This window comes from Homo sapiens, chromosome 15, assembly GCF_000001405.40.
Source record: "Homo sapiens chromosome 15, GRCh38.p14 Primary Assembly".
Classification (NCBI taxonomy): domain Eukaryota; kingdom Metazoa; phylum Chordata; class Mammalia; order Primates; family Hominidae; genus Homo; species Homo sapiens.
In genome coordinates this window covers 74,655,066-74,668,560 of record NC_000015.10, presented here as the reverse complement: position 1 = coordinate 74,668,560, position 13,495 = coordinate 74,655,066, and the positions used below count along the sequence as shown (strand labels likewise).

At 41.1% G+C, this 13,495-nt stretch overlaps 1 protein-coding gene across 9 annotated transcripts in view; it reads left to right on the top strand.

Annotated features, from left to right (window-relative positions):
* Window positions 1-13,495, top strand: part of EDC3 (enhancer of mRNA decapping 3) — a 65,467-nt gene that overhangs the window by 27,464 nt on the left and 24,508 nt on the right. For 8 of the 9 annotated variants that reach the window (NM_001351379.2, NM_025083.5, XM_024450077.2 and 5 more), the window contains one exon: window positions 12,493-12,828. In NM_001351379.2, coding sequence (NP_001338308.1) covers window positions 12,493-12,828 — 336 coding nt within the window. Of the gene's footprint in view, window positions 1-3,852; window positions 4,179-12,492; window positions 12,829-13,495 lie in introns of those variants that run through there. The other variant, XM_011522092.4, reaches the window with a different exon arrangement.

The following is a 13,495-nucleotide window of genomic DNA, read 5'->3' as shown; positions in this document are numbered from 1 at the left end:
TTTAGTAGAGACAAGGTCTCACTATGTTGCCCTGTCTGAAAATCTTTTTTCTTTTAGCAGAAATTGTTGATTTGTTAGAAGTTCAAATAGGCAGTTTATAATCTTCCGTGCACTTGAAGATGACCCTTATTAGCAATTCATATTATTTTTTTCTACACATTTTTCCCCGTTATTAACGTCTTACATTTGTATGGTATACTTGTTATAATTATTGAACCAATGTTGATGCATTATCATTAAACAAAGTCCATATTTTATTCAGATTGCCTTAGTTTTTACCCGGATGCCCTTGTTTCAGGATCCTGTCCAGCATATCACATCATATTTGGTAGTCATTTCTCTGCTTGGCTCTTACAGTTTCTCAGACCTTCCTTGTTTTTGATGACCTAGACATTTTGATGAATACTGGTCAGGTATTTTGTAGAATGTCTCTCAGTTGGTACTTGATGTTTAAATCATGATTAGACTGGGGTTATATGTTTGGGGGTGGAAGACAACAGAGGTAAAGTACCATTTTCATCACCTTGTGTCAAGTGTATATATTATCACCATGGTTTATAACTTTTGATGTTCACCTTGATCACCTGGCTAAAGTAGGATATATCTAGTTTCTCCTCTGTAAAGTGACTCTTTCTTCCCCTTTACATATGTACTCTTTGGAAGGAAATCACTATGTGCAGCCCACACCCAGGGAGTGAGAAGTTATGTCCCCTCTCCTTGAGGACACAGCATCTTCAGACATTACTTGGAATTCTTTTATGCCAGAGATTCCTCTCTTCTCCCCCATTTGTTTATTTATTCAGTCATTTATTTATATCAGCATGTACTCATGGGTATTTATTTTATACTTTGGCTTATAATTCAATATTACTTTATTTTGGTACTCAAATTATTTCAGTTTTGGCTAGTCTCCAATCTTTCACTTGGATCTCATGTCCCTTTGACATACTCCAATCATTGTGGATTTTATTTTTTTTTTTTTTTAGTACTTAGGTACTTTCTCACACTGAAAGATGCTTACTACTACCACTACTACTACTACTACTGCTGCTGCTGCTGCTTCTCCTCCTCCTCCTCCTCCCTCCTCCTCCCTCCACCCCCTCCCTCTCCCCCTCCCTCCTCCCCCCTTCTCCTTTCTTTCTTCTTCACTAGGGATGCTCATTGCTCCTGGGTGTCACCCTTATAGCTGACAGCAAGAAAATGTGTATACTTCTCTGCAGAGTTCACAGAAAAGAAAATATATGTGTGTATATTTAACCAGCATATATATACATATTTAAATATTTCTATATGTAACTATGTATATTGTACTATACTAAGTATGAGTTCATACTGATGTCTCCAACTTTAATCCATTACCACATGGATCCTTCTAGCCTTCTCCTTTTGCTTGTCTGTTACTTCTCACTCCAACAGTGAGAAACCTGTCTCCTATTGTCATTCATTCTTTACATAATTATTCAATTCCAGTATACATGTATAGTGGTATCAGAATTATTAACTTGTATCGCCATTCCTGTGGGAGACTATCAAACAGAATGTGGTGCTTACGTACTGTTTCTTTTGCCTTTCATCTGACTCCATTCATTTCTAGAGTTATTTAGGTCTCCCATTTCCTTCATTGACTTGTTTCATATATTCATAATACAATTAATTTGTTTTATCACATTCTGCATTCCATCCTGGGATCTTCTAACCTCCTAAATGATTTTTAAAAATTTGCAAACACTAAGGCTCACTCTTTGTGCTGTAAAATTCTGTGGGTTTTGACAAATACATAGCATCATGTATCTGTCATTACAGTATTAAACAGAATAGTTTCATTGTCCTAAACAATCTCTTGTGCCTTACCTGTTCAACTTCCCCCACTTCCCCCTGGCAACTACTGATCTTTTTATTATACCATCCCTGCAGTTTTGCATTTTTCCAGAATATCACATAATTAAAATCATACAGTATGTAGCCCTTTTCAGACTGGCTTCTTTCACTTAGCAAGATGCATTTAAGATTCATTCATGTCGTTTTGTGACTTGATAGGTCATTTCTTTAATTGACGGATAATGTTCCATTGTGTGGATATATCAATTTGTTTACCCATTCACCTATTGCAGGACATCTTGGTGGCTTCCAGGTTTTGGTTATTCTGCTTTTGCTGTTTTGTCAGTTTCCTTTTTCTAGATTGTTAACTGTACATAAATGAGGTAAAGAGATCATAGGGCAGTAAAATGTTACTATTTTTCAAGAAACTTATGTAGAATCCAGATTAGTTTGGAAAATGTTTGTGGCCTGGGAATGGCAATAAGACGTGGCTCAGAATAGGTTTCTGATAGAAGGTAGAGTTATAATTATTTTTCCACTCATTGAGCCCTGTAAGTAAAAAGGTCTGCCTTAGAATTTTCTCCAGTTTATGTACATTGATATTGAGACTAGTAGATTGATGAAGCTATAGAAATATAATCTGTCGGCCGGGTGTGGTGGCTTATGCCTGTAATCTTAACACTTTCGGAGGCTGGGACGGGCAGGTTGCCTGAGCTCAGGAGTTTGAGACCAGCCTAGGCAACATGGTGAAACCCCGTCTGTACACAAATACAAAAAATCAGCTGGGTGTGGTGGTGGGTGCCTGTAATGCCAGCTACTCAGGAGACTGAGGCACAAGAATTGCCTGAACCTGGGAGTCGGAGGTTGCAGTGAGCTGAGATTGTGCCACTGCCCTCCAGCCTGGGCAACAAAGCAAAACTCTGTCTCAAAAAAAAAAAAAAAAAGGAAAGAAAGAAATATAATCTGTCTTCAGTTCTGGCTTTTAAGTGTTCTTTCAGGATTGCAATAAGGAGTTGAGGAATTTGTTGGTTTATAATAGTTAGCTAATCCAACACTGATGATTTAGCACAAGCAGATTTTAATCTCTTTTCGGGTGGGAGTGGGTTTAAAGAATCATGTAAAGAATAGTTTTTCTGTGACCATTCAGAATGTTTGTCAAATAGACATAACATCAGTCCCAGGGAGCAGAGGGAAACCAAGCCTTGTTTAGGGTGCAGCTCTGTGTATGGGTATAATTCATATTTATCAAATCCCATGTCACAGCTGAAAATGGTGACCATGAGGGGCAGATGAAAGGCATCCCTCTCTGAAATCTTAGTCTATGAGCTTGAATAGTCATTGTAACATGCAGTTGAATAAAAATTTAACAGTTAAGTTAAGGCTCTTTTGCCTGTAGAACATGAAAGTAGATAGCTGAGGCTGGGCATGATGGCTGATGTCTCTAATCCCAGCACTTTGGGAGACTGAGGTGGGCAGATCACCTGAGGCCAGGAGTTCGAGACCAGACTGGCCAACATGACGAAACCCTGTCTCTACTAAAAATACAAAAAATTAGCTGGGCCTGGTGGTGCATGCCTGTAATCCCAACTACTTGGGAGGCTGAGGCAGGGAGAATTGCTTGAACCCGGGAGGTGGAGGCTGCAGTGAGCCGAGATCGTGCCATTGCACTCCAGCTTGGGCAACAAGAGTGAAACTGCATCTCAAAACAAACAAAGTAGATAGCTGGCCTTTAACTCATTTATATTTAGAGAGAGGTGGTCCTATAGGCATGACAGTGCCTCTGTTTAGTGCTGATTTCCCTTTTTCTCTTTGTTACTGGAGGTGGAGAGAAATGAGGGATGGAATTGAACCTTTTAAATGGAAAGATGGTCGATATTATCTTGTTGCAGTATGGTTGGGCTTTAACGGTCTGTTCATTTTAACAGTCATCCCACCACCTGAGGCAGGAAGTGAATTTTGCCAGGTTTTCATGGTTCTACTGAGGTTTTCTTGACTTTTAAACTTCCTTGGATGTGCTTCATATATCTAATAGGCTTGAAAACCCAGGGCCTAGAATTTGAGAGTTGAGAAGAAGGTCCCATATATTCTCAGGCACCTTCTCATGATGCCTGTTTAATCTGGCAGTAAAACATTTGTAGTTTAACATTCAGGTACCCTTTAGTGTGATAAGTGCAGGACAAAGTTCCCACTTACAGTGTGTGTGTGACAAAAACCAATAAATAAGTGGCACTGAGGGTTACACAACAATGGGTTTGTTACAAGTTGTCCTGGCCAAAGGGCCTCTGTGCCAAAGGGTGGCAGAAAAACGGCACAGGAAGGCAGCCAGCCTGCAGTACTTGCATGGCCCTTGTAATTGAAAGGTAAAGAAATCTGGGAAGACTGTTTGTCTTTTCCAAGGGAAGTGCTTTTCTCTCGCAGTGGCCAAAGGCCAGTTTAATGCAGAGCCAGGCCCTTTGGGATGAGTAAGCCAAGTACTGAGACAGCTTGTTCACTCAGGACTTCCTAATATTTGTATTAAAGTATGAGGAAAGGGAAGAATAAGAGACAACTGAGCACATTAGCCTGCCTTGCATTTATTTTATGTTCTCTTATCTTTCTCTTACTGACCTGTGATGTCAGTATTTCCTCTTGGGAAATATTTTTCACACTCTGCTTTCCTGACAGTGTTTAGAACATAGCTAGTCCTTAGTGTCTATGTCTCAAATGAATGAATCAACTCTGCATTTAGAGGAGTACAGGAAAACACCTGAAACCTTCTTCATACAACATCTCTGGGTTTTGTTGTAAGTTATGTTTGTAGAGTCCTACAGTTGAGCCAGAAAATGATGACCAGTGCCCAGCATCATTAAGGCAGAATTAAGGCGTCTCCCACTGTGGACCCTGTTAGTCTTTATAGTGGGGCACTTTGTCAACATGCTGTGAACGAACTTTACAGCTAGTCATGTTTGTTTTCTTTACTTTTCTACTTTGCATTTCAATAGCTCCTCATCATGTGGCATGATATGAAGTGGGTACTATTTATTAGCTTTTTTTTTTTTTTTTTTGAAACTGAACAAAAGTTTTCTTTCTATGCTGCACTCTCTCCTCCCAAATAAAAGTTGCGTATCTCTTAACGCAAAACGCTTGGGACCAGAAGTGTTTCAGATTTTGGATTTTTTAAAAAGGATTTTGGAGTATTTCTGGAATACATACCAGTTGAGCATCCCTAATCCAGAAATCCAAAATGCTCCAATCAGCATTTTCTTTGAACATCACGTTGGCGCTCAGAAATTTTTGGATTTTGGATGTTTGGATTAGGGATGCTCAGCTTGTGCTTTTGAACATTCATATTGGTGTTCAGTGGTTAGCGCACTGCTTAGGGCTAACAAATACTGGGCTAGTGGTTAGAGAAGCAACTTATGCTTTTCTTTTTCTTTTTCTTTACATTTTATTTTTTATTTATTTATTTATTTTTTGAGACGGAGTCTTGCTCTGTCACCCAGGCTGGAGTGCAGTGGCGCCATCTCGGCTCACTGCAACCTCCACCTCCTGGCTTCAAGCGAATTCTCCTGCCTCAGCCTCTGGAGTAGCTGGGATTACAGGTGCCTGCCACCACACCTGGCTAATTTTTGTATTTTTAGCAGAGACAGGGTTTCACCATGTTGGCCAGGTTGGTCTCGAACTCCTGAGCTCAGGTGATCCACCCGCCTTGGCCTCCCACAGTGCTGGGATTACAGGTGTTGAGCCACTGCGCCAGGCCAGCTCATGCTTTTCAAACTTTAGTTCCAGGATAACTGGCCTTCTACCAGTGTCATTTGGCAAGTCTGACCTGCCTTCAGAGTATTTGGGTCTTTGGATTCTAGATTCTTTCCTGTTTTCTCCTATAACTGTTTTTGTGCCTCTACCTGTTCCTCTTTAGCAGTGTCTGTATCCTGTTTCCTCTGAGCTTTATTCTTGGTCACCTGGTTTCAGGAGCTTTGGGTTTTATCTGAATGGGAGTGATTTCCCATTTTGCTTCCTTAACCCTGTCTTCTCCTTCACTGATCAACTGCTTATTTTCATCAGTCATTGTAATAGTTCCAGGATAGTTCATTTTCAGTTCATATTGGACATGACTGAAGTTTTTCCACTGAAGCCCTTGCTTCGTAACTCTTTTATATTATATTATTGTCAACAACTTTATCTTCCTGGCCTTTTCAGTCATGTAACAAAGTTGGCATGATTTTTATTGCTTTTTCTTGTAGTTAATCTCAAGTTGCCCTTTTTTTATAACCTCTTTTTAGACTTCTAACTTTTGATTGGCTAGTGTTTGCTTTTTAAAAAAAAAATATATATATATATATATTGCTGTTTTTATTTCTTAATTCAGCAGAGTTTTGTGTACTTACGCTGAACTGGGCATAGTGTTGGGTGACAGGTATGAATGACATCATTCCTGCCCTCTGTTGGCTTATAAACTCCTTGGGAAGTTAGAGCAAGAACACAGATTAACTACAGAACAAAGTAGGTAATGTAGCATAAGTGCTAGGTCAGTGGTAACGCACACTGTTGTAAGTGGTCAGATGGGAGTGATTTTTTTAGCAAGGGTAGTCAAAGATAGTGTGTTTGGGCCGAGTCTGTAATAGCAAAAATGAGAAATAACTTAAAAGTTAATCAGTAGGTATGATCCATGTGCTGTATATCAATATGGTATGATCTATGATTTATGTGGCCATAAAAAGTAAGATACAGTATTTGAAGAATTTTTTCATGAAACTCGAGGATGCTCCTAAGCGAGAAAGCAGGATACAAAACTTTATAAGATGGATGCAAATTTTTTACTAAAAGAAAATCAAAATATTATGTGAATATTTAGAATTTTCTGCATATTTGGTATGAACATCTGTTAACAAACATTATTTTTAAAAAGGAATACTCCTTTCCTATTACCTTTGAATTATTTATTTGACCATTGTGCTGTACTGAATTGTTTTTCATTTTTGCATTGTGTGTACATTTTTTCTTTTTCTTTTTCTTTTTCTTTTTTTTTTTTTGAGACAGAGTCTCGCCCTGTCGCCCAGGCTGGAGTGCAGTGGCGCGATCTTGGCTCACTGCAAGCTCCACCTCCCGGGTTCAAGCGATTCTCGTGCCTCAGCCTCCTGAGTAGCTGGGATTACAGGTGTATTCCACCACGCCCAGTGCTGGTCTCGAACTTCTGACCTCAGGTAATCTGCCCACCTCGGCCTCCCAAAGTATTGGGATTACAGGTGTGAGTCACCACCCCTGGCCGTGTGTACATTTTCTAGACATTATCCTCTGTGTTCTTTTCACTTTGCCTAGACCATGACTGTGCGCCAATAAAACTTTATTTACAGAAACAGGCAGTGGGTTGGATTTGGCCCATGAGCTATAGTTTGCAGAGTTTTGATGTAGAGTATATACTTAGGGTGAAGTTAATTCATAATAGTTAATGTGGATTCATGTTTGGAATGACCTTCTTGATACTTTATAATTTGGGAGACCATCTTCATAGATTTAATTAATTTTTGACAACCTCATTCTAGCTAAAGAAGGCCTGTAAGAGGAATAGGGAAAGTGTTCTGCCATTTTCTTGTTTACTTATGATTACATTAGTATTATCGTTATTTAACATATAGTTTCTTTACAAGTATCTTTTTAAGCCACATACTCATTTTCGTATGCTTTAGTTAAAAATTGGCATGGTTGTATAGTGTGAATGCACTTAATGCCACTGAACTGTACACTTAAAAATGGTTAAAATGGTAAATTTTATGTAATGTATATTTTACTGCAATTTTAAAAAATTGATGTATAACCACTTGCATGGATAGACTTCTTGTTATGGAATGTCACATTTTCCTCAGATATCTCAAATATGGGCAGCAATTGGCTGGCATGGAACTTCATAAGGGTCCTGGTTTTCATCAATACATTAAAATTCATAAAGTTTAATTTCTACTGTTTTTAGTTAAAATAAAAATAAATAGAATATTCCGTATCTTCTTCCTACATCCTGGTGAATCGTTCTGTCCACCCCTGGGGAAACACATACCCACTGAAGAGTGACCACTGGGCAAGAGACCTATTTCTAATAGGATGTTTTGATTTAATATTGAGGCAGTACGTTGATAATCCTTATTCTTTTGTTCTTCCCTTGTCTGTGTATATTGCTAATGGTGTTATCCTGACCTTGTATTTTCATACCCATTCTGTCTTCCTGATCCAGCTCTGCTTTTTCACCCACATATGTAAAATATATGTATATATTTTCATATATATAAATATCATTATATATGCATATATTTTCATATACACACACACACACACACATATATATATATATATATATTTTTGGAGACGGAGTCTCACTCTGTCCCCAAGGCTGGAGTGCAGTGGCGCAATCTTGATCTCAGCTCACTGCAACCTCCACCTCCTGGGTTCCAGCGATTCTCCTACCTCAGCCTCCCAAGTAGCTGGGATTACAGGTGCACACCACCATGCCTGGCTAGTTTTTGTATTTTTAGTAGAGACGGGGTTTTGCCATGTTGGTCAGGCTGGTCATATACATATATATATTGCTCAGGCCGGAGTGCAAGTGGTGTGGACTGTGGCTCACTGCAGCCATGACCTCCTGGGCTCAAGTGATCCTCCCATCTCAGCCTCCTGAGTAGTCTCATCCATATTTCTTTCTCTTTATTTTATTTTATTTTTTTTTCTTTTGAGACAGAGTCTCGCTCTGTCACCAGGCTGGAGTGCAGTGGCGTGATCTCGGCTCACTGCAATCTCTGCCTCCTGGGTTCAAGCGATTCTCCTGCTTCAGCTTTCCAAGTAGCTGGGACTACATGTGCGCGCCACCATGCCCAGCTAATTTTTGTATTTTTAGTAGAGACGGGGTTTCACCATGTTGGCCAGGATGGTCTCGATCTCCTGACCTCATGATCCGCCCACCTCAGCCTCCCAAAGTGCTGGGATTACAGGCATGAGCCACCGCTCCCAGCCCTCTTTTATTTTATTTTTTAGCCAGGATGTGTTCTCATGTGGTTTTTTATTTTTTTATAAAGACAGGGGTCCCACTATGTTGCCCAAGCTGGTCTCAAACTCCTGGGCTCAAGTGATCTGCCCACCTTGGCCTCCCAAAGTGCTGAGATTTGGGCATGAGCCACTGTACCCAGCCCATCTCATCCATATTTCTATGGCACTTTATATAAACTTCTTTCTAACTCTAATCACATCATATTTTCATTATTTGCCTATATATATATATATATATATATATTTCTATTTTTTATTTATTTATTTTTTTGAGTCGAAGTTTTGCTCTTGTTGCCCAGGCTGGAGTGGAATGGCACAATCTTGGCTCACTGTAACCTCCGTTTCCTGGGTTCAAGCAATTCTTTCCCCAGCCTCCCGTGTAGCTGGGATTACAGGCATGCGCCACCACACCTGGCTAATTTTTTGTATTTAGTAGAGATGGCATTTCACCATGTTGATCAGGCTGGTCTTGAACTCCTGACCTCAGGTGATACACCCACCTCGGCCTCCCAAAGTGCTGGGATTACAGGCCTGAGCCACTGTGCCCAACATATTTCTTCTCTCTCCTTGTTGAGCAGCATGTCTTGGTTGTATTTTATCATCCTAGCACCTAGCTATGGCATAAGTGTGCTCTCACAGAGTGCTTCATCAAATTATTGGAACTAGAACTTAACCCAAACTGTGGCTAGCTTCATAGTGGTTCATCATCTAGCTGGCTGTGGTGTCTCAACCACTCTGCCTTACCTTCATAATTTTGGTCAGCCTTAGTGTTTTGTTTTTGTTTTGTTTTTTAGGGACAGAGTCTCACTCTGTCACCCAGGCTGGAGTGCAGTGGTGCATCTCAGCTCACTGCAACCTCCGCCTCCTGGGTTCAAGCAATTCTCCTGCCTCAGCCTCCTGAGTAGCTGGGACTACAGGCGCATGCCACCATGCCTGGCTAATTTTTTGTATTTTTAGTAGAGACAAGGTTTCACCGTGTTAGCCAGGATGGTCTCGATCTCCTGACCTCATGATCTGCCTGCCTCGGCCTCCCAAAGTGCTGGGATTACAGGCATGAGCCCCCGCGCCTGGCCTTGGTTTTTTTTTTTTTTTTTTTTTTTTTTTTTTCAGAGACGTAAATTGCATCTTCACTGCCATCACCACTTTTTCCACACCAGTACAAGGCATTAGGAATACTTGGGCATAAATTGTATTTGCATAGTGTATACCTTTCAGAATAATTATTGTAATTGATCTTGCTGATATTAATTTGTTAATGCTAGAAACTCTACTGGAGATAACCACAGTGAGCATTCTATATACAGGAAGTTAAGACCCTGAGAAGTTAGATGATGGTATAAGATTATATAATATTTTGGTGAGAGAACTAGATCCTAGCTCTCCAAACTCTTGGTCCTTTGGGTTGAAGGAGGTTGCAATGAGAAGAGTTAGGGCAGCATAGTTGGTTTAGTATATGTGAGGGGCTTTGCTTGGGATCATTCTAACCGTGACTTGAGTGTTTTCAGTAATTGAAGAGCCCAGTCTTTCAGAAGGAAGTACATTCCATTTATTTAGACTGTGATAGAGGTTCAGTCTGGCATACCAGTCACCTGATTCACGTTTTCAGGGTAGTCAGATGGAGACCAGAGCTTGATTCTCTGGGGGTGGGTGGTTTGGAGAATTCTGTGAGACCTTCTGCCTTGGCTGCTAGAGTAGTTGTTGACTGATGTGTAGTAGCCAAATAAGGTGTCAGAGACAGGGTGTGGCTGGCTACTCTGTTGTGGATGTGCATTAGTGTGGCCTCTACAGGATCAGTTCAGTATGGACCCTGTCATTATTTGGTGTTTCAGAAACTGCTTACCCACAAGAGATAAAATTCTGAGAAAAGAGATCACGTTAACCGAAAGGTCTAAAGAAAGGTTTGTAAGTCAGAATAGCAATTTGTAGTGGTAGGTGTATACCTGGCTCAGAATGTAGAATTTTTTGAGCAAACCAGGGATTCCCTGCTGCTGGGATCTAGCCTAAGACCAAATTAAAAATCAGAAGATTGCTTGCTGGGTAAGCATAGATTTAAGGACTAGCTGAATAGTATTTTCCTACAAGCTTCAGGCTATAAGACCAGGCCTTCTTTTACTCTGGGGGTATTTCTCTCTTAAACAACTGCCAGACACTCAGACTCAAACTGAAGCAGGATATTTCCCTTCCCTGACCTATTCACAGGACTCATGACAGGGGTGCCCCGTTTACTCCACGCACTGCTCTCAACTCCTTGCAGAAGGGAGTGTGCGAGAGAACAAGGCAGGAACTGGAGTGCACAAGCACTGGAACCTGGCTGTCTGTTTCAGTGCCAGTGGGATCAAACTCCACTCACTCAGACCCACTGTGTTCTACCCATTGTGGGAGGGAGTGCACATGTGAGCCGGTGCAGGAGCCAGAATGAGCGCTTCTGGGCACCAGCAGGAGCGAACTCTGTGCAGGCCATATGGCAGCATCTAGGTGGGGTGTCTACAACTCCTGAAGCCCCAGAGGATGTGTTATGGTGCTCTTTTAGCTCTGCCATCCACAGATGGCTTAAGTGTTAACAGCTCAGTGGGCCTGCAGCTGCCCTCTGCCAGTGAGGGCAAAGGATCAGTGTGACAGTCTTTTGTATCTGCACTCATGGCTTCTGAGCTTTTGTCCAGTGTCCAGGAAAAATGAGGTCACATGAATGAATTAAAGGATGGTAAATGTGGGTGATTTTATTTTTATTTATGTGGGAAGGGGAGCTGAAAAGGGGACAGTCAGTGGTGGGTAGGTAATTTTCCCCTTAAGTCTGGCTGTCTCCAGCCAAATTCTTCTCCATAGTTACACAGTCAAGCTATCCCTCTGAAGTCAAGCCACTTCTCTCTGACATCCAGCCATAGTCTCCAACATCCAGCTGTTTCTCATCTCTGCTGACTGAGTCTGGGGTCTTTATAGGCACAGGATAGGGTGGGGGCAGAGCCATGGGTGGTTTAAGAAAAGACAACATTCTAGTGGGAAAACAGGGATATAAGTTCTCACTTTGGGCCACAGTCTCAGCCTTTTCAGCTTCAAAGGTGGGGCTTCGCCAGGGACCCGCCTCTAGAATTTCTCTGCCTCCTGCCTCTGTCATTATGTCAAAACCACCATGCTATATTCTTACTCTTCCTCTTGTTTGCTAATAGTAAGTTGTCAGAAAAACTTTTGTCATTACCAGTTTCCTTATGAAGGGGATAACTGGTTAAGATTTCCAGGAGTACTGCTTATTTCATATTCATTAACAAGTTACTTGGGTAATATTTGTTGTTGTTTGTGTGTGTGTGTGTGTGTGTGTGTGTGTGTGTGTTTTGAGACAGATTCTTGCTCTTTGCCCAGGCTGGGGTGCAGTGTCGTGATCATCACTCACTGCAGCCTTGAACTCCTAGGCACAAGCGATCCTCCTGCCTCAGCCTCCCAATGTGGGATTATAGGCGTGAGCCACTGTGCCCAGATTGGGTGATGTTTGAAACCTATTATTGCACATGAGATTTGTTGTTTGTGCTACTTAATATGAGTTTGCAATAGTTACCTTTACCATTTTCACATTGGTTCCTGTAACACTCTCCACAAAAGACTAATGTATTTTCCACGTTCACTGAGCGCTTTCTGTGGATACACTGACTTTAGTCCCTATTTTTTCTCCAGGGTCATCTAGTAGCAGGCACCCAAATCAGGCAACTCCCAAGAAAAGTGGTTTAAAGAATGGCCAGATGAAGAATAAAGATGACGAGTGCTTCGGGGATGATATTGAGGAGATCCCAGACACAGATTTTGATTTTGAAGGGAACCTGGCTCTTTTTGACAAGGCAGCTGTGTTTGAGGAGATTGATACCTATGAAAGGAGAAGTGGTACCCGTTCCCGGGGCATCCCAAATGAAAGGCCCACTCGGTACCGCCATGATGAGAACATCTTGGAGTCCGAGCCCATTGTCTATCGACGGATCATAGTGCCCCACAACGTGAGCAAGGAGTTCTGCACGGGTGAGTTGCATCAGGTCCCACATCCTGCTGGTTGCTGTTGCCTTTCTATTATGCTTGAAACAGAAAGACCTGGCTTCTGAGTCAGAATCTCACACTAGGAATTAATTTAAGTGGCTTGGTGGCTGGCCCGGTATTATTGTCTCTTGGGGATTGCAGCCAATAACAGCATTCTGCCATGGTGGAGGGGTAATTTCTGTAGATGTCTGTGTATATCCTGTATCTGGTAGGATATGGCCTGCCACTTATTTAGTATGCTGTGAGTAACAACTAAAGGCAAAGGGCCTGCTATGTAGATTCAAATATTCAGATCTATTTTCACTTTGGCTTCTCTATTACTGCCCATACATTTCACCAGACTTCAACTCTGTTTTACTAATTATTTGTTGTTGCAAAAAAACAGTTGAAGATGGATGATTGGAATCATTGGCTAAAAATAGAGTTTTAATAAATTACATTTCTTTACTATGCTGTTCTTATCTCCTGTTAGCCCAGGACATTGAAAGTTGGCTAATTTCATGTAACAGTGTAGTGCCTTATGTAGGTCATTGTAGATGATAATCTAGTTCTATTACCTCAGTGATTATTGTTTCTTTTTTTAGCATTAGAACCTTTTCTTCAAACCTATGGCATATAAAACAGATTAAAGCAGTGTGAGAGAGGTAATTCA